This window comes from Homo sapiens, chromosome 10 (assembly GCF_000001405.40).
Source record: "Homo sapiens chromosome 10, GRCh38.p14 Primary Assembly".
Taxonomy (NCBI): Eukaryota; Metazoa; Chordata; class Mammalia; order Primates; family Hominidae; genus Homo; species Homo sapiens.
The window spans coordinates 74,298,561-74,326,328 of NC_000010.11; the positions used below are offsets into that span (position 1 = coordinate 74,298,561).

General features: G+C 35.1%; 1 protein-coding gene across 13 annotated transcripts in view; it reads left to right on the plus strand.

Moving 5' to 3' along the window:
* ADK (adenosine kinase) overlaps positions 1 to 27,768 on the plus strand; it is a 558,070-nt gene that overhangs the window by 147,340 nt on the left and 382,962 nt on the right. For all 13 annotated transcript variants that reach the window (NM_006721.4, NM_001369123.1, NM_001202450.2 and 10 more), the window contains one exon: positions 16,107 to 16,185. In NM_006721.4, coding sequence (NP_006712.2) covers positions 16,107 to 16,185 — 79 coding nt within the window. The remainder of the gene's footprint in view (positions 1 to 16,106; positions 16,186 to 27,768) is intronic.

Here is a 27,768-nt window from a genome sequence, read left to right on the forward strand (position 1 = left end):
TGCGCAACATAGTGAGACCCTATCTTTTCAAAAATAAAAATAAAAAGAGTATTGAGGATTTTAGGCCAGGTGTGGTGGCTCATGCCTGTAATCTCAGCACTTTGAGAGGTGAAGGTGGGAGAATCCACTTGAGCCCTGGAGTTTAAATTCAGCCTGGACAAATGGCAAGACCCTATCTCTACCAAAAAAACCCCCCAAAAAAACAAAAACAAAAACAAACCAGAATTGAGGACATTAGCCAGGCATGGTGGTGTGCACTTGTAGTCTTAGCTTCTTGGGAGGCTGAGATGGGAGGATCCGTTTGATCCCAGGAGTTTGAGTTCAGCCTGGGGAGCATAGCAAGACCCCATCTCTAAAATAAAAACAAAAAAGTGAATTGAGGACATTGGGTGTAACATCGGTAGTCAGTTAAAGAAGATAGTGGTTTTACTTGGCTCTGATGAACCAACAGATGTTACTGACACTGATCAGTTATTCAAAGAGCCAATGCTGAGTTTGAAGTGACTGAAAAATTAGCTTTCATGAAAAGTCGATGAAACATCTGCAGACGTGAATATTTTCAAAAAATTTGAGAAAACACTAATTCAGCATAATCTGAAGTAGAATCTGTTAAGATGTGTTGCTACTGATAGTAGTAAAAATATATGTGGAGGCCGGGCACAGTGGCTCAAGCCTGTAATCCCAGCACTTTGGGAGGCTGAGGTGGGCAGATCACTTGAGGTCAGGAGTTCGAGACCAGCCTGGCCAACATGGTGAAACCCCATCTCTACTTAAAAAAAAAAAAAAAAATTAGCAGCGTGTGGTGGCATATGCCTGTAATTCCAGCTACTTTAGGAGGCTGAGGCAGGAGAACTGCTCGAACCTGGGAGGTGGAGGATACAGTGAGCTGAGATGATGCCATTGCACTCCAGCCTGGGTGACACAGCAAGACTCTGTCTCAAAAAAAAAAAAAGAAATATATATATATATATAAAATATATTAAAATACATATTTATATCATAAACTTTGTAGATTTCTCCACTTAACCTTTTTGCTCCATATATATTTTAAATATACATTATACATATATATGGATCAGAAAAAAGGGTTAATTGGAGAAATCTACAAAGTTTGTGAAACTATAAGGTTGTAAAGCCTATGGCTATTCATTGTATTATTTATTAGCAGCTATTTTGTAGACAACATTTGAATCTATGATTTATTATTTGAATATCATTTATTATTGAACCAGTATTATCAACAGTGAACTTCATTTGCTGTATGAAGAGATAGTTCTGTAAGTTTTTATCAGAAATTTAAGCTGTATATTTGACTTGCCTGACCACCCATCAGTTTGATTACTGCAGTTGTTTGAGCTTATGGTCAAGATTCAAATTTTTCTAAACAAGGAGAAGCTCCTTCAACTACTGTTATTGCATATGAAATGGCTTTGAAAATTAGCTTTTACTGAAGACTTTATATTGTTTCTTTTCTTTCTTCTTCTTCGTCTTCTTTTTTTTTTTTTTAGAAACAGGATCTTGCTATGTTCTCCAGGTTGGTCTTGAACTCCTGGACTCATGTGATCCTCCTGCCTCAAGCTCCCAAAGTGTTGGGATTATAGGTGTGAGCCATCATGTCCCTGGCTAATACATTATTTCTTAATGATACTGATATTGTTGTTGTTTGTTTCTTTCTTTCTCTCTCTCTCTCTCTCCTTGTTTCCTTCCTTCCTTCCTTCCTTCCTTCCTTCCTTCCTTCCTTCCTTCCTTCTTTCCTTCCTTCCTTCCTTCCTTCCTTCCTTCCTTCCTTCCTTCCTTCCTTTCTTTCTTTCTTCTTTGTCTCTTTTCTCTTTTCTCAACAGGGTTTCACTCTGTCACGCAGGCTGGAGTGCGGTGGTGCTGTCTTGGCTCACTGCAACTTCCACCTCCCTGGTTCAAGCAATTCTCCTACCTCAGCCTCCCAAGTAGCTGGGACTACAGCCTCATGCCACCATGCCCAGCTAAGCTTTTTGTATTTTTAGTAGAGACAGGATTTCACCATGTTGACCAGCCTGGTCTCAAACTCCTAATGTCAAGCTATCCACTCACTTTGGCTTCCCATAGTGCTGGGATTACAGGTGTGAGCCACTGTGGCAGCCTTTATATGGTTTCTTAATTTTGAGGCATACCAGTGCTTATATGTAAAACTTATACTATGGTAAAGTTATTTGACAGCAGCTAATGTAGTTTGAATCACAAGTAATGTCAAGCTGCTTTATATACAATGTCCCATTCTGTCAAAAGTTAAAACAAGAAGTGATACTTCTATTTCCACACACATTTGTAGCAGATGTTTGTGGGCTCAAACTATAGTTTTAGCAATATTGATGCCAGAGCAGAGATAACTTCTTTATTTCAAAATCCATCTAACACTGCAATCACGGAGCTTCTACCTTATGTTACATTAGAAGTGATTAATCTGCAATCTACATGCTAAAGGGGAAATATCAAGAAAAAGCTCTGATAGAATTCTATAAATGCTTTCTAAGTGATAAATATGCTTAATTTAAATCATATGCTATTGGATTTATATCAGTATTTGGGAGTATCTATTTGTATATAGAGACATTCAAAGTTGAAATATGTGAAATTATTATAGATCAATGTTAACAGATGAATATTTGCGATCAATTTTGATTGATAACAGTAACTTTGGCCAGGCACAGTGGCTCACACCTGTAATCTCAGCACTTTGGGAGGCCGAGGCAGGTGGATCATGAGGTCAGGAGTTCAAGACCAGTCTGGCCAATATGGTTAATCCCCATCTCTACTAAAAATACAAAAAATTAGCTGGGCGTGGTGGCGTGCGCCTGTAGTCTCAGCTTCTCGGGAGGCTAAGACAGGAGAAACGCTTGAACCCGGGAGGCGGAGGTTGCGGTGAGCCCAGATTGCACCACTGCACTCCAGCCTGGGTGACAGAATGAGACTCTGTCTCAAAAAAAAAAAAAAAAAAAAAGTAACTTTAAACACCAATTAAATGAAATGTTATTTCCCCTAAAAGAATTACATTCTTCTCATTACTAAACCTGATAAACAAAAAATTTTATTGTTATTAATATTCCTAAATTTGTCAGTAAAAGTTTTTTGTTTTATAAGTACCTAGATAATGTCCTTGGTTTTTTTCTCATTACCCATAGAGCCCAAACTATTTACTACCTGGCCTTTTACAAAGAAAGCTTTCTGACCCTCATCTTCTTCTAAAAGAATAATAGATGTCTAATTAGAAACCAGTTATGCATTGGGTTGAGTATCCTTTATTAGCATTTTAAAGTTCTTGCATTTCGAAAATACTAAAAATACTCAAATTTAGAAAAGTTAGTTGTCTTCATAATGTAATTTAAATGTTTGAAGTGTTACAAAAGAGATTCACCTGCAATTAAATATCAGCAGAGTGTGTCCTGTACCCTTATCCTGCAACACTTTTCTCCTATAGTAACTGAATGACTTTGGAATTCAGGGCTTTGTATTTTTACCTTTTTTTAAAGCTTATTTTTGCTTTCTTTTCTTTTCTGTTTTTTTTTTGTTTGTTTGTTTTTTTTTTTTTTTTTTTTTTTTTTTTTTTTTTTTTGAGATGGAGTCTTGCTCTGTCGACCAGGCTGGGGTGCAGTGGCGTGATCTTGGCTCGCTGCAACCCCTACCTCCCGGGTTCAAGCGATTCTTCCACCTCAGCCTCCTGAGTAGTTACAGGTGGGACCACCATGCCTGGCTAATTTTTTGTATTTTAGTAGAGATGGGGTTTCACCATGTTCCCTGGGCTAGTTTCAAACTCCTGAGCTCAGGCAATCAGCCCACCTCAGCCTCCCAAAGTGCTAGGATTATAGGCATGAGCCACTGCCCCCAGCCTGTTTTTGCTTTCAAATGGACTGTTGATGGTTTTCTCAGAGTGCTTTACTTTTGAAGTCCAGTTTGTACTGGAAAGAATTTATATTCCAGGCTGGGCACAGTGGCTCATGCCTATAATCTCAGCACTTTGGGAGGCCAAGGCAGATGGCTCACTTGAGTCCAGGAGTTCAAAACCAGCCGGAGCAACTTGGCAAAACCTCGTCTCTTAACAAAAATATTTTAAAATGAGCTGGTTATAGTGCTGCATGCCTATGGTCCCAGCTACTTGTGGCACTGAGGTAGGAGGTTGGCTTGAGCCTGGGAGGCGGAAGTTGCAGTGAACCCAAATCGTGCCACTGCACTCCAGCCTCCATTACAGAGGGAGAGCCTGTCTCAAAAAAAGGAAACGAATTTATATTCCACATTTTACTGAGTCTAGTGTGAGTTTTTGTTTAAAAAAAAACAACCCAGGAATAATTTCTTCAAATTCATAAGCATGGCAGGCAGTTTTATTTTAAATTCTGTGGGAAATATGAATTTAAGGATCTCATGTACCATGCCTTGATAATCATTTCTCTGTAATGTATATTTTGGCAAATGATATTGTTATGAAACATACTTTTGCATTAATATTAACTTTATGCATAATAAAGATGCATCTTCAGTTTTTTGTTTGTCCTATGAGAGTTTACAGCTGGGGACATCTTTTACAAAAGTATATTTATAACCTGTTCAGAAGATATGAAACACAATAATGAGATAATCACCTATGTATTTTTCAGTTAGCAGTTACAAAAGGATTATTGACACTTATAGTTGTTAATATCTCAGTAAAAACATACTCTTGTGCTTATTTTAAAATTGAACGCTAGTCTATATTTTTAAAGTTTCCTTTTATGGAATATTTTGTCTTTTGGCACTTTGCATCTGGATTATAGTTCCCCCATTTAAGAAAGAAACCTGTTTCTATTCAATAGGATTAAAAACACACTTTCAGTTTTAGAGCAGATTTATCATCTACCCTTCAGGCTATTCTTTAATATGGAGCTCTTAAAAATGAGTATATTAAGATATTCCCCAGATGTTTTAAACTTCAGCAAACTTGTGGTTTTCTTTATTTGTAGTATTTGGAAGATGAAAGAAAGTATCTCCAGTATCTAAACACTTTTCATATTGGTTTTAATGTTGTTTTTTTTTTTTTTTTTTTTTTTTTTGCTAGAAAGGCATGCACAAGATAAAGCTTCTACACTGATAAATTTTCAAAGTCCTTGCTTTTAAAATATCAAGCTGGGTGCAGTGGCTAACGCCTGTAATCCCAGCACTTTGGGAGGCTGAGGCGGGTGGATCACCTGAAGTCAGGAGTTCGAGACCAGCCTGGCCAACATAGTGAAAACCCGTCTCTACTAAAAATATAAAAAATTAGCTGGGTGTGGTGGCTGGTGCCTGTAATCTCAGCTATTAGGGAGGCTGAGGCAGGAGAATCGCTTGAACCCGGGAGGTGGAGGTTGCAGTGAGCTGAGATCGCACCATTGCACTCCAGCCTGGGCAACAAGAGTGAAACTCTTGTCTCAAAAAAAAAAAAAGGTATTGTCAAAATGAGAGTTGTATTAGCAGTAATGTAAAAGTAATATTGTATGTCTGTATACTTTTGAATTTACATTGTTATGTGATTCATATTTGTTTTGTATAGCTGTAACATTTGGTTAATTGTTTAGTGGGTTATTGAATAGATTATTTTCTTCATTACTTAGTACAGTGGGGATTGAGAATGCTTTGTATCAAGTGTCTTACAAGTATTGGGAAGTTCGAATTAAAAATATTAAAGATGTCAGTCATTTACTTCTTTTTTTTTTTAAGGTGGTAGCCCAATTGAAAATTTTCTGCAAAATCAGTAACTAAGTTATTTTTCCACAATTATAAACTTAGTTGATGGCATTTATTGAGTGCTTACTACGTTCAAGGTAAATGAAATGAAAGAGTGGAATAGTGCATTATACACGCACACACTCAAGGGAAGCAAGTATAAACACCTTATTTCATCTCACTTGTTTAGAAATTTGATTTTGTTTTTTCTTGCTGGGTAACATATCTGTGTTAATCGAAAATTTATGACTTAGAGTGGAATTTCTCTAAAAAGCAGTAGGTGACAGGGATACAAGATAAATAATTTCATCAGAGAATAGAAATTCTTTTTTACAATGGATAAAATTGTGCTTGTAACAGGGATACAAGCACAAACCAAATCAATGTTTAATTATTTTAAAAATATTCAAGGGAAATCTAGTTTTGTTAAAATTTGTATAGGTTGGTAGTGTGCATGTTCTTAAAAATCCAAGAACAATAGCAGCAGCAATTCTTATTTAATCTTTCTTTAGTGTGTCCATTCAACCATTCATTCATCAATTTTTTTTTCTGTGTACCCATTATTCATCAGGCACTATGCTTAAATATCGTGGAACACAAAAAGAAATAGTCTTTAATGCTGTGTTTTACAAATGAGGAAACCTAATCTCGGAGAACTTAAATTACAGTTGTCCTTTGGTATTCATGGGGGATTGGTTCCGGGAACTTCCTCAGATACCAAAATCCAAGGATTCTCAAGTCCCTGATATAAAATTCTGTGGTATTTGTATATAACATATGCATATCCTCCCATGTACTTTAATTTCTAGATTACTTATAATACCTAATATAATGTAAATGCTGTGTAAGTAGTTGTTATACTCTCTTGTTTAGGGAATAATGTCAAGGAAAAACACTCTTTACATGTTCAGTACATATTTTTCCAAATATTTTCAATCTGTGGTTGGTTGAATCCATGGATGTGGAACATACGGATATGGAGGGCCAGCCGTACTTGCCCCATGTCATATAATTAGATGAATATAGAATTAAAGCCAGGTCCGTCTGACAGAGCGTTTGCTTCTAACCATTGAGGAATGTTGCCTACCCTGATGACTCTACTATAGGAAATCATATATTGATATCAAATTGATCTTATATGTCTGTAGTGAGGAACTTGGCCATGTTGGACCTATCCCCTTCCCTCCTTGCTCCTCTCCTTTCTTCCTCCCTTACCCCCACAGCTTCACCCCTCCCTTAGCTCTTTTTTCTGACAGGTGGCTGTTTCCATCCCTGTTTGCTGGCACCTTCTCCACTTAAATTTTGGTATATCCCTTGGTTCCACTCTCTGTGTTCTTCTCTTGTGTATGAGTGTGGATTTTGTGTTTGCTTATCCTGTGTGGAGTTTCTGAGCTTGAATCTGTTAAGAGTATGTCATTAATCAAATTTGGAAATTTTTAAGCCATTTTTTTTTCTTTCTTTCCTTTCCTTTTCCTTTTTTAGAAGCAGGTTCTTGCTTTGTGGTTCAGGCTGCAGTGCAGTGGCACAATCTCAGTTCACTACAGCATCAAACTCTTGGACTGAAGTGATCGTCCTGCCTCAACCTCCTGAGTAGCTGGGACTACAGGCATGCATCACTATGCCTGGCTATTTTTATTTTTTTGTAGAAGTAGGGTCTCACTATGTTGCCCAGGCTGGTTTCAAACTCGTGGGTTCAAGCAGTCCTCCTGCTTTGGCCTCCCAAAATGCTGAGATTATAGTTGTGAGCCACCATGCCTGGTCAAGCCATTATTTTTTCAATTTTTTTTTTTCTGCACCGCACTTCTTTTCTTCTGTTACTCATGCACAAATTTAGATCTTTTAGTATTGTCCTATAGGTCTGAGTCTTTTTTCATTTTTTAAAAAAATCCTTTTTCTGTCCTGCAGATTGGAAAATTTTTATTGATTTATTTTTAAGTATACTGATTAACAGTCTTCTTCATTTTACTATTAAGCCCATCTAGTTAGTTTTAAATTTCTAGTTATTGAATTTTTAAATTCTAATATTTTTATTTTATCTTCTTTATCTTCTGTTTCTTTGCTGAGTCTTTTCACTTTTTCTAGCTGTCTGAAGAGTCCTAGTAGTTTGTGGTTCCCTGGAGCTCTCCGCCTTGGTAATCCAGCCAGAGAACTGGGGCTTTATTTTCTCAGCTCTGCACATACTTCCTGTGACTGTAACCATGTCTGGGTCTAAGTAGTAGGCAGATACTCTTCTCTTGCTTTTTTCTTTCTTGTGTTTTAGTCAAATTATTTTACCTCTTATTATAACTTTGTTTATTATTATTTACCAACACTTTATATGCAAATTGTAGATTATTCAGATTGTATCTTCTACCAGAGTGTTCACTCTTTTCTGTATGAGGCTGATACGGAGTGAGGGGAGAGCTTATTACCTTAATAAAAATTAAGGGTTAAGCTAGGTCAAAGTTGATTTTTCAGTGTTGACAGTTCAGTTGAGCCTGTTTGCTTCTGTTCCTAGAGCCTGAACCTCTAGGACTTTTAATTGATACCAGTGGTCTCCGCTCTGAAACAGTCCACCAGAATGAGGGTACCAAACTGACCTCAGAGGTTTCCAGGTTAATGCAGAGGTTTCTAGCTTAATTTCTTTCTGCCTTCAAAATTTGGCAATTATGTCAAAGGGGAAAATGATCTTTTGTTTTAGGTTTTCAGTTTCCAATGTTACTACTTCAGCCTTATGTAATTGCTAAAATCCCTACTGTTTTCCCCCTATTGCCCCCTTCCTTATCATTATCTTCTGCTAAGCACAAAGTGTGAATTTTCAGGTTCCACATGTAACCAGTATAAGTATATCCTTCCCCCCAAACCCCAGTGGAAATGTGCCACGGATCCTTATTTTTATTCTCCACTCCTTCTAGGGCTTTCATTTCTTGCCTATTATGTTTTTAGTTGCTCTTTTCTTGTTCTGTCTTTGTAAGCACAGCTAGAGTCAGAGAACTTTCTGCTTTTGGAACTATTTTGGTTAACCTCTTTAACTTAGCATTCAGTTTCAGAATTCAGCAAATGTGTTTTGGGGCAAACTAGCTGTGTGTTTTAGGTTTGGGAAATGTCAAATTTTGTTTCTCTGTCTTCATGCTTCTGGCTGCAAATGTTGGCAGGTGGAACAAAAAGCTGCCAGTTCTGGCCTGCCCCTGTGAACAGGTCTCACCTCTCCGGAAATTTATCCACTTTGTCCTTGTTGCTTCAGAGCTCTTTGGTACCATTAACAATGTGACTTATGATTTATATGGCCTTCCTAGGTGTCATCAGTAGGAATGTTGGCTGTGATGCAGTATATGCTACCCAGAATCGGAAGTTCCATATATTATGTTTTGATAAGAGATTTTAGGTGTTTGAGTATTTCTGATGAGTGACATTTTTTGAAGTTTGCTAGAGAGAAATAATTAGCTAGTTATTGCTTAACTACTCTCTCTCCATATCTATTACATATGTTTCTGGAATATTTCTATGGTCAGAGAAACTCAGGCCCATTATAAACCATGGACTCTGGTAGAAATAGAAGCTGAAAGCAAACCAGTAAGGGAGGTGGAGTGTATAATTTGTGTTTTGGAAGTACCTGCCGGTGGACTTGGGGGTGATGCTCTAGGTTTACCATGAGATTACTCATCTAATTTTGAGAACCACTGTCCTGCAGTATTTTTCTTTTGCTTACATATGACTTTTTCTTTTTATGATTTAAAACTAAATGTCAACCAGTTACTATTTAATGAAAATCATAAATTGGTTTAGTGAAATTTTGTTGTGTTCTTACAATGGGTAGAAACCTAATGCACTTATCATGCATCTAAATTTAGGAATAATTCATTTTATTTTAATCATCTATACTTATATACAAAATGCTTTTCAGCAGTATATTTGATTATCTTAGGTACAATGATCTTCATGTTCAGAGTTATAAATGGGAATAATTAAACCTTTAAACATATTAGAGTTGAATAAGGGCTTATCTAAGCAATACATGCTTAAAATTGCTTTCTTATCAAAAAAATAAAATTGGAGGTTCAAGAAGTGTCTTTAAATTACAATCCTTATGAACTAATAGCTTAACCTTAGTTTTGAATAACTGTTACTTTTTCCGTCTTTTAAAAAGATGCTTAAAAATAAACGCATGTCGAAAATGTTATTTTGGCTTTTAGCAAACTGACATTTGAGTTTTTTAAAACCTCACTAAACATTTGTGGTAAAAGATTTCAAAGCTTTGAATTTTACAATTTGCCTGTCGATTCCCCCCCTGTGTTATTCTATTAACATTTGATCTTAATAAGTATAACCTGTTTAGAATGACTTATGTTTTTAATTATTTGTTTAGATGAGAAGTTTAAGGAATAACTTCATCAGAAATTCTACTTGGCAGTTATGAATGCTTTCTTAAGGAAGTTAAATTTTTGGAATTTCACTGTAAAGATTTTAATCACATGTCCTATTCTTCATACATCAATCTATAAATGTTCAAAAATTGTTAATGTTGTTTTTATGCTGTGCTGATGTTAACACAACGTGAGGTCTTCTTTCTTCTCCTGATAATATGCTGAGCGCACACACACTCTCATATGCTCACTCGCTCTCTCTCTCTCTCCTTCCCTCCCACCCCTGAGTTTGAAATAAGTTAGTGGCTTTAGTTTCTTTGAAAATGGAAAGCAATTGCCCTTAGGTAGAACTGGAAATTGTAAAGTGTTGGTTTTGTGGACATTTTCCTGTTCATAATTCTTGTTATATCTTATTTATAAGTACTTTTATTCATATAGGAATAAATGATTCTATGTTGAAGGGTATAATCATGAAGTCTTTTTTATTTTTTCGTGTTAGATAAGGAGAAAAATGACACATTAAAAATTACAGTGCTATTTGTGTTTTAAAATTTCTTCTGTCGCTTTTGTATTCCTTATTGTTCTCTTCACTTTTTCTATTGTTTTTCTAGCTTTTCAGGATACATTTTCTAAATGCATCCTAAATATAACTTACAATAGTTGCCTTTTATTTAAAAGTAATACATTTAGTTTCCAACCACAAAGTGTTTAATTCTACATATTTCTATTTTTATTTTACATGATCTTAATATATCCTTGATTACTGTGTTGATCTTCTAGTTTTTAGGCTGCCACTTATACCATCAAAAGCCATTTAAACTGGACTTAGAGGATAATGAATCTAAATTTTCTTATCTTCCTCAAAACAACAGATACAATTAAAGTCACAAATAAGCTGTACCTTCAGAATTGCTAGGAGACAGAACATAGTAAGAATTCAAATCTCTTATAAGCAGAGTTATAAACATCATATTCCAATATTGATTCTGCTGCTTTGTCTGTACATTTGGAGAGCAGAGGTAGCAGGGAGGTTTAAGAGACTGAAAAAAGGGAGAGGGGTGTATGAAGTGTAGATCAGTAACAAACACCATCACTCTTGAAAAGAAAAAGTCCAACAGAGGTCCTAGACCTGTGTTTTAGACAGGTGGGAGGACAGTAAATTAATTTTTAAAGACAAAATAATTATATTGAATGAATTTATTGATCATTTTGTTGAACAGTTAGTATAAGGACATCCCGTATTATATTTCAGCTTTCATAAACTATAAGTGTTTATGTCTTATATTTTGTGTTCTTTCAACTTTATCTTAATTTGCTTCTGTTATTTTTAATGCCATTTTTGTACATTTGTTTAATATTACTATATTCATCTTTGTTGTAATTTTTTCCTGTAATAATGTAACATAAATAATTATAATATTACAAAGTTTATTAAATTTCTTCCAATGATAATTAATATAGTAGGCTTGTGGTGGAAAAATGGATCAGGTACTGTCCTTCCAATTCTGTCAGGCTTTTGATTGAGGTGTTTATATGGCCACCCCGTTCAGACAAAGAATGTCAACCAAAAGGAGAAAGTAAGAAGGAATCTATAAATTACTAAAATTCCCATACTTTATTTCCTATGGAAAAAGTCATGTAAGGAAAATATATAGAAGTTTCCCGTAAAATGTAATAATATCATAAACTCTTTCATCCTTAAACACCTGTTAGTCTTGCCACAGCACAATCAGTTCCCTAAAGATAAATATTTCTTGGTTTGTTAGTTGGCTACTTAGGAGTTCCTTTTCCTTCTTATGAGTTTTCTTCTCTCCTGTATTTCTTTTCTAACACCATCCAACTGGTTATCCAAACTAGCAACCTCAGAATTTTCATCCCTCTTCCACATCTTACATTTCTTTATCACATCCTGTGTCTTCAACTTCGGAATGATTCCTTACTTTGGTCTCGTCTCTCTATCCTGTCTTTCGTATGAGCTATTCTAAAGGCAGGTGGTCTGCTTCTCTTTACTCTGTCCAGTGTTATCATCATTTTTAAAAAGTCTGCTTTTCACACTGTTGCTAAATAGAGTTTAATAATTTCTAGTAGCCTTCAGAATAATGTCTACACTTATTAGCCTGATAGTTACCTTTTCTTTGTCAGTTTTTACTACTTTGATTTTGACCTGCATTTTAGTCTGTGTTTAACTGGTTTTTCTGAATACGTCATGTTTATTGTTTTAGCCTCAACCCTGAATTTTTTTTTTCTCCCTTAAGTGTCAAATTTCAATTCAGATGTTAAACTTTCCCTGCCTTTTTCATTCAGAATCACTTCTTTCTTTGCTCTTGTTTTTTATTCAGCTTTGTTCTATATATGGTTCTTTAAAAATAATTGTATGGAAAATTGCTATGTTCTTTTATTATAAAATGAAGTTGATTTTTCATTACAAAACAGTTTATATGCTTATTGCACAATCTAAACAGATGTATAAAAGAGCCATAATTGTTCCTAATTTGGCGATAACTACTGTTAATACCTTGGTTGTATTCTTCCAGGTTCTTTTCAGTAGACATGTATATTGGGTAATTTTGTTTACACAAAAAGATTACATTGTGCATCAGTTTTCATAAATTAGCACTTCTCATTTGAAATAACATGGAAAATACCTATCAATAGATGTAAATCTATTTTAAATCTGTAACATTTAAAAATGTTTAACACTTAAGTAGAAGCAACACATACACATAGTAAAACTACATCAAGGTGGAAAATTAAACGCTTATTTGAAGACTTCTAATTTTGGGAAATTGACTAATTCTGCTATTCTTCAGGATTTCTCAGGCCAAAATTCAGAACAAGGCTAAATTTGCCCATTTCCACCTACTATTATTTATTCTTTCTTTATATTATGCTAGAGCTTGTAGGCTCTGTACTAACACAAGAAAGGGGAAGAAAAAAATTGTCCTTATTCACAAATGATAATTATGTTTAATTTATTAAAAACACATAAATCATTGGAGTTAATTAAATATTAGAAACTTGGCTGGAAAAAATTGATATAAAGAATGTTTCTAAATATCAGCCACAAATAAAGATTAAACAATATCATAATAGTATTAAAACATAGGAAGTATGAAGTAGTGATCAGAATAAAAGATGTGGAGGCTTTGTGGCAAACATTATGAAACTTTGAGAGATACTGTAATCATGGATTAGATGATTTAATATTGGAAATATATCACTTTTCCCAGCATAGATATAGATAAGTAGTGCAATCACTGTTAAAATCCTAACAAGTTGGGCTGGGCATGGTGGCTCACACCTGTAATACCAGCACTTTGGGAGTCCGAGGCAGGCAGATCACGAGGTCAAGAGATGGAGACCATCCTGGCCAACATGGTGAAACCCCATCTCTACTAAAAATAGAAAAATTAGCTGGGCATGGTGGGATGCGCCTGTAGTCCCAGCTACTTGGGAGGCTGAGGCAGGAGAATCACTTGAACCAGGGAGTCAGAGGCTGCAGTGAGCCGAGATCGCGCCAGTGCACTCCAGCCTGGCAACAGAGCGAGATTCTGTCTCAAAAAAAGAATCCTAACAAGTTGGTTTTTGGAGTTTGACAACTAGTTGTAAATTTATATGGAGTGCAAAAAACCAAGAACGGCCAAAGCACTCATGAAGAACAACAGGGTAAGGACACTTGTAGATAGAGTGTGTGTGTGTGTATGTATATATATGTGTGTATATATATTATATATGAGAGATAGTTATAAGATACTGGGGTTTCTAAGTCAGTCCAGTGTGTTTTTTCTTAACCTGGGTAGTGGTTACACAGACATTCACTTTTTTTTTTTTTTTAGAACAGAAAGTTTCTAAGAATTTATAGCACCAAGACATTCATTTTTTAAAAATTGCACATTTATTTTACTTATCCTAGAGAAATTTATAAAAAACAAAAGTAAACTATAAACACCAGTTAAAAAAATCCTTTTATATTAACTCCATAGAGATGCAAATACTGTTAACAGTTAATGTTTTCAGGGGCCTGGCTCCATGGCTTGCACCTGTAATCCTAGCACTTTGGGAGGCTGAGGTGGGAGGATCGCCTGAGCTCAGGAGTTCGAGATCTGCTGGGCAACATGGTGAAGCCTGTCTCTAAAAAAAAAAAAAATACAAAAAAAATTAGCCAAGTGTGGTGGTGCATGCCTGTATTCCCAGCTATTTAGGAGACTGAGGCGGGAGGATCCCTTGAGCCCAGGAGGTGGAGGCTGCATTGAGCTATGTTTGCACCACTGCACTCCAGCCTGGATGAAAAAGGAAGATTCTGTCTCCAAAAAAAAAAAAAAAAAAAAAAAAAAGTTAATGTTTTTAGCTTACCATTATAAGTCTAAATAATGAATTTGTGCTTATTTTTAATTAACAAACTTATACAATGTCTGTAAACTCTATACTGGAAGATGAAGAATGTAGTGCACTTACACTGTTTTGCCTTTTTATTCTTCCTTATATTTGCTTTAGTTTGATTTTTTATTGATTGACTTTATGACTTCAACAATATATTTAAAACCTTTTTAAAAACTTGATTTTTAACATTTGAGATATTTATGGAGTCTTCTCCATGAAAGGGAGAATTTTGCATGCAATAGTGTATGATGGGCACTTTTAACTTTTTTATGGCTTTCTTTTTCAAAGTCATACACCACTTTACTTTTCTTTTAACCTAATTCCATCTTTCTTCTGTTTTTTTTGGGGGGGAGAGGTTGGAACATCTCCTTAGTAATTTTTTCCACATAGGAAAAAGGATTATTAAATATTACTTTGCCTTATTAACCTGATAATTTGAGTACATATTGAAAATTTCTAGTTTCAAAAATTTCCTCCCTTCTCAGCATAGAATACATTACTCCATTATATTTTTAGCATCCGGTATTCTTTGAGAAGTTAAGTATTAGTCTGATTTTTATTCCTTTTAAGGTAATTATTATTTTTCACATTATATGCTTTAAAGGTTTTATCTTAATATGAGAGATTAAACAAGATGTGTCCAAGTATGGGGTCCTAGTCCCTAATCCCTTGTAAAACTGCTTGATGTTTGGAAAAATCTGACCATATTTATGTTTCACCTTTTTTTTTTCCAACATTTCTCTCTTACTCTTCATAATCTCTATTTTCCCTTTCTGTATTTCCTGTTAAACAGATCTCAGACCACCTAATAAATTCTCTACACCTTTTAATTTTTATTTCATATTTTTAATTTCTTATATTTTCTATCTACTTTTTTGGTCTTTTTAAAAATTTCAACTTTTCTATTTTTATCTTAGTTTTTACCCATGCATATTTTGATTGCTCAGGTAATCCATCCAACTATTGATTTTTCAAAAATTTTTCAATAATTGTTAGTGTACAGAAACTGTGTCATTCTCTAGCTGCATCTTTTCATATAATTAGATAGGTCTGTTTGTGGCATCTTTCTTTCCTTGCTTTACAGGCAGTACTGTTATACTTTTGTTTATTTTTATACATAAAACATATTTTTTGACGTTTAGTAAGATGTGGAAGAGGAAATGAACATATACTTCATCTCTTTTGAAGTGTAAGGTCTTATAATTTTCATACTTCTTGAACTGATTCCAAGGGTAACATTAAGTGAAATTTTGTTTAGTTTCTATAGAAAACTCTGTTAGTTGTCTGGAATGAGGAGAAATACATGCTGATTTCTGTATGTTTGTAGTAACAAGTGATTCTGAGACTGGGATTCTGATTTTGACTTAACCAGTTTGCCACGTGACCTCCATTTGGCAATCTATTAATTATTACTTTTACTTTCTGTTTAGTTTAATGGCCAATTATGGACAGTCTGTTTTAAATTCTTAAATTCTTATAGTTGTACACTTATGGAAAACATTTCTTAAATGTGGAAATTTAGTATTTTTGTTATAAGATATTTCAATTCATTTATTCAACATACTTAAACAATAAAAACATTTTACTATTTGTGTTTTAATACTCTTCTGCTCAGAAAAGTTTACTTTGTTGCAACTCACAGAAGGTAACTTACTTTTTTCTACTGTGATTTCCTTATAGGTTTGATGAACTTGTGAAAAAATTCAAAGTCGAATATCATGCTGGTGGCTCTACCCAGAATTCAATTAAAGTGGCTCAGGTTGGTTAATTATTTTAAAAGTTAAAAGGATTCAAAATGATTCTAGACCCATGTCTATTTTGCATAATTGTTTCCTTTTATATTGTGTTGCTGTAGAATAGTTTTGTTCATTTGAATTGGGATTTTAGTAGTCATTGCACATCTAATCAAAAGTTATTTTAATTGGTATTTCTTTGGTTATTGGTAAGCTTGAACTTTTAATGTTTATTGTTCATTTGTGTTTCTTCTTAAATTGTTTCCTTTCACTATCATTTTATAATTTTTCATGTTACAGATTTGTAGAAACTTCATATTTTATAGATAGTATTCCTTTTTATTTTATAAGTTGAAAGTATTTATTTTTTGTTATGTGTACATTAACTCTTACAGTGTCTTTTACTGTGCCTTAGTTCTTAATGTAACTTTCAAAGTTTTTAACGTAATTAAACTTTATGGCTTCTTCATTTCCTGCATGTCCCCCTTACGAAGGACGTTTCTGCCACAAGATAGTAGAAATTGCTCTGTATTATATATAGATATCTATATACATAAATGTACATTCATATATTCATACCTAAATATCTATGTATAGACATATATGTTGGTAGATATGTATATGCATCTATATATCTATACCGGTGTATATCTTTTATAAATCTATATATCTGTCTCTATTCCCATATCTTCCAATGAGTAATTGAATAAACCCATTAGGCATATACTCTTTGAGTTACCAGCTTAACCTAATCTTGATTGAGAGAGTTAGTGATCTGTTTAATCTTCCAGCTTTGAAAGATATGAACAAGTTTTACATACCTCTGGTTCTTACCTCTGCAGTTTGAAGTTAACTCAAAATTCTGCTCATTGCAATCATGTGTCAGTTCTGCCTACACTAGATTTCTTTTTCTTTTTTATTGATTAATGCTTTCCCCTTGAATTCTGATTAACTTCAAGAACTGGGGAAGTGGAAAATTGACAAATAAAATCCAGAATGATTTCTTTTCAAGTAACTCTTAGTTGATTGAGACATATAGTATGATTATTCCACATACTTCCAAGCTCAGATTTAATCATAGTTTTCAAATATTTTGTAAAAATGAATCTTTAAGGCGGTCATTAATATGAAGTGGCCTGAGTCTTTGTATTGGTCAATTGATTTGTATTGTTTTTGGTAAAACATCCTGGTGGTCACTTTATGAACTTCCAGAGTAATAGAAAAAGGATGATTTACGGCCAGGCACGGTGGCTCACGCCTGTAATCCCAGCACTTTGGGAAGCCGAGGTGGACGGATCACTTGAGGTCAGGAGATCCAGATCAGCCTGGCCAACATGGTGAAACCCCGTCTCTCCTAAAAAAATACAAAAATTAGCCAGGTGTGGTGGCATATGTCTCTAATCCCAGCTACTTGGGAGGCTGAGGCCAGAGAATCGGTTGAACCTGGGCGGTATAGGTTGCAGTGAGCTGAGATCATGCCACTGCACTCCAGCCTGGGCAACAGAGTGAGACTCCATCTCAAAAAAAAAAAAGAGAGAAAAAAAGGATGATTTACTTAAGCCTTAATTTATCAAGGCACGTTTTGCATTTTGCAGTTTTCAGTCTTTTCTCCTGCTAGAACTGGGGGTGATATGGTTAGGCTTTGTGTCCCCACCCAAATCTAATCTTGAATTGTAATCTGTATAATCCCCACATGCCAAGGAAGAGACCAGGTGGAGGTAATTGAGTCATGGGTGCAGTTTCCTTCATGCTATTCTCCTGATAGTGAGTGAGTTCTCACAAGATCTGATGGCTTTATAAGGGGCTCTTACCCCTTTGCTCGGCATTTCCCATTCTTGCTGCCTTGTAAAGAAGATGCCTTTCTTCTCCTTTGCCTTCTGCCATGATTATAAGTTTTCAGAGGCCTTTCCAGACATGCTGAACTGTGAGTCAACTAAAACTTTTTTCTTTATAAATTACCCAGTCTCAGGCAGTTCTTTACAGTAGTGTGAAAATGAACTAATACCGGGAGGCTATTAGCTGTTCACTAATAAATTGTCTCCTTTCTTGGGGATCTTCATCAGTTTCTGCCTTCTAAAAGTTTATTAATTATATAATTAAGTTCTCCCTCAGCTTTCTCCCTGATATTAGTCTCATAATAAAACAGTCATTGCCTACTTTTATTCTTTTGCACTTTTTTTTTTACAATATTTCACATTCATTCTAACAACGTATTCTAGTAGTGGTTTATTTGTTCCTGTCTTTAGCAAGGTAATAAAAGGAATTTGAAGCTTTGGGTAACTTATTCTGTCAGATCTTACTAGTAATCATACTTTCATGTATCAAGTGATATGGCAAATTATGTCAACAAGAAAATGTCCCCAAAGCTCTTAGGTATTTTGATATGTCAAATCATGTTTTTGAAGATTTTAATGAAACCATAGGCAACAAAAACAAGTATGGTTGATATCTTGTCCAAACACAATTCTAGATTTATTTGATACACAGCACAAATGTAAATTTTGGTAAATTTCATTTGGTCTGAACTTCTTCCTAATGAAAGTGAAAAGTTCTTATCTGCTCAATATCCTGCACAGCATGTATATAACACTGCTAAAAAGGGGTATAACTTGCTTAAGTTTGATAATTGATGCTTTCTTAATGAACACTTTTGGTTACTTTGTCAGTTTTTAAAAAATTTGTAGAAGCACTTAATGTGAGTTTTGACTTGAAAGAAATGGAAAAACGTTGGCATTGTGACTCATGCCTGTAATCCCAGCATTTTGAGAGGCTAAGTTAGGAGAATCGCTTGAGTCCAGTAGTTTGAGACCAGCCTGGACAACATAGTGAGACCCTGTCTCTAGGAAAAAAAAAAAAAAAAAGAAATGGAAGAAAATGACTTCCTTGGATATGTGCCTAAAAGATGGCTATTATTGTTGCTGGACATAGATGCCCTGCAGTACAATATTAACAAAATATGGGACCAAAGGAATGCCCATCTCTGATTTGGCAGTACATTGAGAATGAGAATGGAAAAAGAAGATTATAGTAAAACAAATATTTTTATGCTGTTTCTGGTTTTTTTGTTTGTTTGTTTGTTTCAAGACGGAGTCTCACTCTGTTGCCAGGCTGGAGTGCAGTGGCGCGATCTCTGCTCACTGCAACCTCTGCCTCCCGGGTTCAAGTGATTCTTTTGCCTCAGCCTCCCAAGTAGCTGGGACTATAGGTGTATGCCACAAAGCCCAGCTAATTTTTGTATTTTTAGTAGAGATGGGGTTTCACCATGTTGGCCAGGATGGTCTTGATCTCTTGACCTTGTGATCCACCCGCCTCGGCTTCCCAAAGTGCTGGGATTACAGGCATGAGCCACCGTGCCTGGCCTGTTTCTGTTTTTGAAGAGGCCACAAGTGGGCTAGAAAAAACACATACCAAAAAAATACTCAAATAATTTTATTTGTTCATTATTTATTAATTTTTTTGAGACAGAATCTCTTGCTCTGTTGCCTAGACTGGAATGTAGTGGTGTGATCATAGCTCACTCCAGCCTTGAACTGCTGCGCTCACAGGGTCCTCCTTCCTCCATCTCCACCTCCATCTCCTAGGACTACAGGCACACCCTACCATACCTGGCTAATTTATTTGTTGTAGAGACAGGGTCTCTGTGTGTTGCTCAGATTGGTCTTGAACTTTTGGCCTCAAGTGATTCTCCTGTGTTGGCCTCCCAAAGTGCGAGGATTACAGGTGCGAACCATTTTACCTGGCTCAAATGGCTCATTTTTATATATTAAGAGTGCTTCAGAACTCAAGTAAAAAAGTCACAGAAAAGAGCAATGAGGTTAAATAAAACTTTTTTTCAGTTTCTTTACTAAAACTGTAACTTACTTGGAATCCAGTTTTGACATCAGAAATTCAAATTCAGGTGTTTTAAAACCATTTCTGCAAGAAAGAAATTTAAGTTAGGATGATAGCCAATGTCTTTCAGAGTGTTTTAAAGTGATGGACATTTTGAACATTGATAAGCCTATATAATGAATCTGTAAACACAAGGGATATGATTCATAAAGAGCTGGAATGCCAAAACCTGCATTTAGCTAAAAGATAGATGGATATTTTTATAGAACTATAAACTAATTCCTATATCTAAACACCTATTATTGATAGTAATTAAAATCCTAAGTATTCTATGTTTACATGCTTTTGTTGAGAGGATATTTAGCTTAATGTCATTGCACTGGACTGACATCAAGAATGTGGGCTTGATGCATCAGAGGTATAAGTCACAGTGAATTTTACCTTTGACTGTATTACGTTTTACCACACATACAAGAAGGATTGACCTAATGGCTCTAGTCAAGTATAGAAAGGAAACATAAAAGTAAAAATATTTTATTATTTCTTAGGCAAAAAGAAGCATGCCTTTATTCTTTTTAATTAAATATTGGTAAAATGTTTAATCCAACTGTGGTTACGTTATTTTTTTAAAAAGTGTGATAGAAATAAACAACAGAATAATATATGATTTTGAATAAGTTCAATATTAGTTTGCTAGGGCAGTCTTAGCAATTTCAGAGACTAGGTGGCTTAAACAACAAAGATTTATTTTCTCACAGTGTTGGAGTCCCAGATCAAAGTGTTGACACCTTGATTCCTTCAGAGGCCTCGCTTCTTAGCCTGCAGATGGCTACCCTCTTTCTGCCTCTTTGCGTGGTGGTTTCTGTGTACATATGTACCTCTGGAGTGTCTCTGTGTGTCCTAATGTCTTCTTATAAGGACACCAGTCAGATTGGATTAAGGCCTACCTTACTGCCCTCATTAATTTAATTACCTTGTTAAAGACCCTATCTTCAAATGTAGTCACATTGTGAGATACTGGGGTTTAGGGCTTCAACATATGCATAGTGGCAGGAGGGTCTGTGGAGGGGTGTTTATAATTCAGCCGATAACAACTATGTGTTTTTAAATTTTTGTGTCTAAGTAATAAAACATGAATAAGTTAATTTTTGGTAGTGTTCTTTTTTGATACCTTCTTCCTTTTCTTTCCTGTATATGTTTTAGTTACTTTTATTATTTACCATTTGAATTACAATGAACATTCTAAACTCATAACAACCTAATTTGAATAATACCAATGTAGTTTCAATAATATACAAACACTCTGCTCCTTTACATCTCCATCCTCTTCTTATATATTATTACGCTCATTGATTACGTCTTTATATATTGCATGCCCATTAACATAGATTTGTAACTATTCTTTTATTCATTTGTCTTTTAAATCATATAAAAATAAAAGGAATTACAAACCAAAAGTTCAGTGATAGTGGCATTTATATTTACTATGTAGCTACTTTTACCAGAGTTCTTTACTTCTTCATATGGCTTCTGGTTACTATCAAATGTCCTTTCATTTCAGCCTGAAGGACTCTCTTTAGCATTTTGTGTAGGGCAGGTCTATTGTTAACAAACTGTCTTAGCTTGTGTTTATCTGGGAATGTCTTAAATAGCCCCTTTATTATAGGATAGTTTTGTTGGATATAGAATTCTTGGTTAACGGTGCTTTTCTTTTAGTATGTTAAATATGTCAACTCACTGCTTTTTGGCCTACATGGTTTCTGATGAGAATTAGTTCTTATTCTTACTGAGAATCCTGACTTGTGACCAGTTGCTTTTCTCTCACTGATTTCAAAATTCTTTCCTTGTCTTTGTCTTTCAGCAGTTTGACTATAATGTGTCTTGGTGTGAATCTTTTTGTGTTTATCATGTTTAGAGCTTATTAAATTCATGCTTCAAGTTCATGCTTGGATGTGTAGATTCATTCATTTTATGAAAGTCAGGAAGTTTTGGACCATTATATCTTCAAAAATTTTTTTCTTTTATTTTCTCTTTGTTTTCCTTCTGGCATTCTCATAATTAATATGTTGGTCTGTGGTGATTGTTTAGTGATAAGGATTCTGATTAAATAAGATAGAAAAAAACACCATGGTGAGTAAGCAAAGCAGAAATAGAACCCCACTGTTTTAACTAGTAACCTCAGCTTGCTTTTTTTACCGGAGATTTTTCTCTCATCCTGAGAAAACTTCAATTTTTACTTCTCTAAATGTTAGAGATTTTGAGTAGTGTTTCACATGCTTTCTTCACTTCTTACTGTCTTCTTCAATTTGGGAGTAATTGTAGGTTGTCAGAGAGAGTGTCGAATATGCATCACTTTAAATACAGTTATCAGTAAATGGACTCTTTCATTCATGCTTCCCAGAGATGACAGTTTTCCTTGGTGCCTAGATACCTTTTTGTTCCTTGGAGATTCATAGTATTATGTGACTCATTGAATTTTTCAGAAGCCTGATGGTGAGCTTCGTGAGGTATTTCTATTTAAGTTGTAAGTTCGCTTGTTTTTAAGCTTCCTGCAATTTAACTTACCTATAGTATTTTTAAATTTATTTTAAAAATGCCATCTTGGGGTATATTCTAGGCATCTCAAAAATTTTAAATACCATCTTATCCTTTGTTAACTGGAATATAAGCAGGTAATCATTTGAATCATTTTTTTTCCTGTAATTATTATAACATTGAGGCTATATGGATTTTTTTTTCTTTTTTTAATTTGAGGCAGAGTCTTGCTCTGTCACCCAGGCTGGAGTGCAGTGGTGCGATCACAGCTCACTGCATCCTTGACCTCCTGGGCTCAAGGAATTCTCCTGCCTCAGCCTCCTGAGTAGTTGGGACTATAGGTGCACACCACCACACCCACCTTATTTTTAACTTTTTTGTAGAGATTGGGTTTTGCCATATTAACCGGGCTGGTCTTGAACTCCTGGGCTCAAATGATCCTCAAGACATTAGCTTGGTCTCTTCTCAAATTAGCAGATCCTTATTTCTGTCTTATAATTTCTAATCTGCTTTTATAATTATTGACTTACATTCAATCTTCCAGTTTTTCATGTCTCTTCCAATTAGATAAGCCTCCATATTTGTATTTAACTTCCAGTAAAATTTTAACCATGTTGTTTCATTTTTAATTAAAATTTAAGAGGACTGCCTAAATGCCAGTGTGTTTATGTTGTATACATCTCGGGGCATGCTTTTAAGTGTTTTCTTGATGTAAAACATCACATAATAAACTAGTGTTCATAATTGTATTTTAAAGCTTTCCAAAATTCTATGTAAAATGAGTTTCTAAAAACACTAAACAAAAGAAGTTTTAGGAATTATGTTTGAATGAAATAGAAACATTGAACTCAAAATTGTAAAGCTGATATTTCAAGAACTACCAATTAGTGTAACATTACTAATTGAGTTACAGTATTTAGAAGTTAAAACTGATGTAAATCAAAGGACTCATGTTGTTTATCTATTTTGAATCCTTTTTTGAAAAAAGTTAATCTTTAAAGTTTTTCTGTATTAAAAAAATCTGATTATCTCTTGTGACCTATTTTACCTAGAAAAGCTAGTTAGAGGTTAAAAGGTTTTTTATGAGACATACTTCTGTGCATCGGAACAGTCCAGATGTAAATTTAAAAAGAAGAAATGACAATGAAGTGATCAAAGAGAATTCTGTGTTCAAATGCTTTCACCTGGAGCAGTTGTAGAAATGTCAGTAGCACAACTGTATTTATAATTATAGCAGGATGTGGCAGATGGTGATGCAACACCGTCTCGTCAATTCTTTGTGTCATTGAAGAAAGTAGTAAGTATTAATTCTGCCAATTTTATGATTAATGAATAATTTTAAGTAACACAGGCCCTACGAATAAGGTTGACTGTTCAAATTGTGATACCTCATTATAGTTTTTAAAGTTTAAATATGAATTAATACTCCTCTTTGCCTTTCTGTTCTCTTTCCTTTTCAAATTAGGTTGTTAAGTTTTCATAGCTAAAATAAGATGAAGGAAGCAGTGGCTTGCTGTCCTCAATTATATTTTTGATGTGTTTGTGAAATTATTATAACTTAGATCAGATTCTTTAAAGAAAAATCAGTATTTCATTTTTTCCTTTCCTCCCTTTTCTCCCTCTCTCCTTTCCTTGTCTCTCTCCTTTCCTTTCTCTCTCTTCTTCCCTTTACCCCTCCTCTCCCCTTCCCTTCTTTCTCCTCCTCCTCCCTTCCTCACATCTCTTTCCCTTCTCCTCCTACCCTTCCTCTTCCCTCCCCTCTTCTTCCTTTCTTCCTACTTTGTTTTATGCATTATGTTAAGAAATTGTTTTACTGCTATTAGTGATAACATGCTTTTAGTTCTGTCTTAGCAGTTATGGTTGTGCTCTCCAGGATAAATCTACACATATCACAGTTATCCACTTCATAAAAGAATGACATATCTCTACTCTTGTGGGCCTTAATGTCATGCAGTGTTTCTGGGTATGACATTAAACATGGGTACAATTTGAAATTGTATTTTTCTGTCTAAAAGCAAAACAAAGCTTCATCAAGAAATACTACAAGCAGTGGGACCTAATTTCATCAAGGGGATAAAACTCTATTCCTTTTTATTCTATTTTGGAATTGGAATTCAGAAACATTTTTTTTTGGTCCTATGGATGGTATATTCACTTATTTGAAATGAAAATTGAACTCAGACTTTTCTGAAAGAGTCTCATTTGTTAATTGGTTGACAAGGATGGTCTTTGCCATTTAAATGATACAGTGGTACTGTCAGCTGTCATTGTTCTTGAAAGCAAAGAAAATATTTAATTGTATTGATTTTCTGACTTACGTTCGAATTAATACACATTTCCTTCTTCTTTAAGCAACTTTATTGGAATATAGTTCACGTACAATTCACCTGTTTAAAATGTATAATCTTGTGGCTTTTAGTGTGTTCACAGATCTAGCTAGCTGTGCAACCATCACCACAGTCAGTTTCACAATATTTTCTTTTCTTTTCTTTTTTTTTTTTTTGAGATGGAGTCTCGCACTGTCGTCCAGGCTGGAGTGCAGTGGCGCGATCTTGGCTCACTGTAATCTCCACCTCCCGGGGTCACACCATTCTCCTGCCTCAGCCTCCCGAGTAGCTGGGACTACAGGCACCCGCCACTGCACCCGGCTAATTTTTTGCATTTTTAGTAGAGACGAGGTTTCACCGTGTTAGCCAGGATGGTCTCTATCTCCTGACCTTGTGATCCGCCCGCCTTGGCCTCCCAAAGTGCTGGGATTACAGGTGTGAGCCACCGCTCCCGGCCCCACAATATTTTCATTATCAAATGAAGAAACTCTATAACCATTAGTAGTCATTCCCCATTTCTCTCTCACCCCCTCATCTTCTGTCCATTCAACCCCTTGGCCCCAGACAGTCACTTATCCAGTTTTGTTTCTATAGGTTTGCCTATTCTAGACAATTATTTTTATTTTTGGAGATGGCATCTTGCTCTGTCTTCGAGGCTGGAGTGCAGTGGCACAATCATGGCTCACTGCAGCTTCCAACTCCTAGGCACAAGTGATCCTCCCACCTCTGCCTCCCGAGTAGCTGGGTCTATAGGTATGTGCCACCATGCTCAGCTAATTTTTAACTTTTAAATTTTCTGTGGAAATGGAATCTTGCTTTGTTGCACAGGCTGATGTTGAATTCCTGACCTCAAGCAACCCTCCTGCCTCTGCCTCCCAAAGTGCTGGGATTACAGTTGTGAGCCACTGTGCACAGCCTTTCACCAATTGTCAAAAACTTATTCATGTATGTGATTGTAGATTCTTTGACCAACATCTCTCCATCCTTCTACCCCTCTAATTACCCAAGCCTCTGATAAACACCATTTTACTTTCTCCTTCTATGAGATCAGCTTTGTTATAGTTCACATATGAGTTGAGATTATGTAGCATTTGTCTTTTTGTACCTGGATTATTTCTGTTAACAAGTTATTCTCCAGGTTCCTCCATGTTATCACAAATGAGAAGATTTTGTTCCTTTTTTTTGTGGATGAATAGTATTCCATTGTGTATATATATCGCATTTTATTTATTCATTCATTCATTGCCTGATAAACTCTTAGGTTGATTACATATCTTGGCTGTTGTGAATAATGAAGCAGTAAATATGGACGTGCAGATATATCTTAATCATTTCCACTGAATATGTACCCAGAAGTGGGATTGCTGGATCACATGTTGTACCGTTAATTTCTTAAGGAACCTCCATACCTGTTTTCCATAATGGCTGTGCTAGTTTACATTCCCATCAGCAGTGTACAGGGTTCCCTTAATATTTCGGGTACTATAGCCTTTTGTAATATATTTTGAAGTCAGATAGCATGATGTGTCTTTGTCATTTTTGCTCAAGATTGCTTTTGCTATTTGGGATCTTTTGTGGTTCTATATGAATTTTAGAATTTTTTTTCTATTTCTATGAAGATTATCATTGTCATTTGAGAGGGTTTACTTTGAATCTGTAGATCACTTTGGATAGTATGGGCATTTTAATGATATTCTTTAATTACATGAATGCAGGCTGTCTTTTATTTGTGTCTTCTTTAATTTCTTTCATCAGCGTTTTATACTTTTCATCTTAGAGATCTTTTATCTCCTTGGTTGAATTTATCACTAGGTATTTTAGCTATTTTTATAGCTATTTTAAGAGGAATTGTTTACTTGATTTTTGTTTTTTTCAGATAGTTTGTGGTTGATATATAGAAATGCTTTTGTATGTTTATTTTGTGTCCTACAACTTTACTGAATGTGATTATTAGTTCTGACAGTATTTTGGTACATTCTTTAGGGTTTTCTGTGTATGAGATCTTGTTGTCTTCAAACAAGAACAATTTAATTTCTACCTTTCCAATTTGTATGCCTTTTATTTCTTTCTCTTGCCTAATTGTTCTGGCTGGGTCTTCTAGACTATGATGAATAGAAATGGTGAAAGTATACATCCTTGTCTTGTTCCAGATTTCAGAGGAAAAGCTTTCAATTTTTCCCCATTCAGAATAATAGCTTTGGATTTTTCATATATGGCCTTTATTGTGCTGAGCTGCATTCCTTCTATACCCAATTTGTTGATAATTTCTAACATGAAAGAATGTTGAATTTTGTCAAATGCATTTTCTGCATCTATTGAAATATGGTTTTTTCCTGCATTTAATGTGATATATCACAGTTATTGATTTGTGTATGTTGAACCATTCATATATCCATGGGATGAATCCACTTGATCCTGGTGAATTATCTTGTTAATGTGCTGGCTTTTTTTTTTCTTTTTTAAGACAGAGTCTCTCTCTGTCACCCAGGCTGAGGTGCAGAGGTGCTCTACCTCCTGGATTCAAGTGATTCTTCCGCCTCAGCCTCCCTAGTAGCTGGGATTACAGGCACCAACCACCATGCCTGGCTAATTTTTGTATTTTTAGTAGAGAGGGGTTTCACCATGTTGGCCAGGGTGGTCTTGAACTCCTGACTTCAAGTTATTTACTTGGCCTCCCAAAATTAATGTGCTATTGAATTTGGTTTGCTGGTATTTTGTTCAGGATTTTTCTTCTATGTTCATCGGAGACATTGGCCTATAGTTTTCTTATTTTTGTTGTGTCCTTGTTAGGTTTTGGTATCAGGGTAATGCTGATTTTGTAGAATGAGTTTAGAAGAATTCTTTCCTCTTTATTTTTTAAAAATAATTTGAGAAGAATTCGTATTAGTTTCGCTTTGAATATTTGGTAGGGTGTGT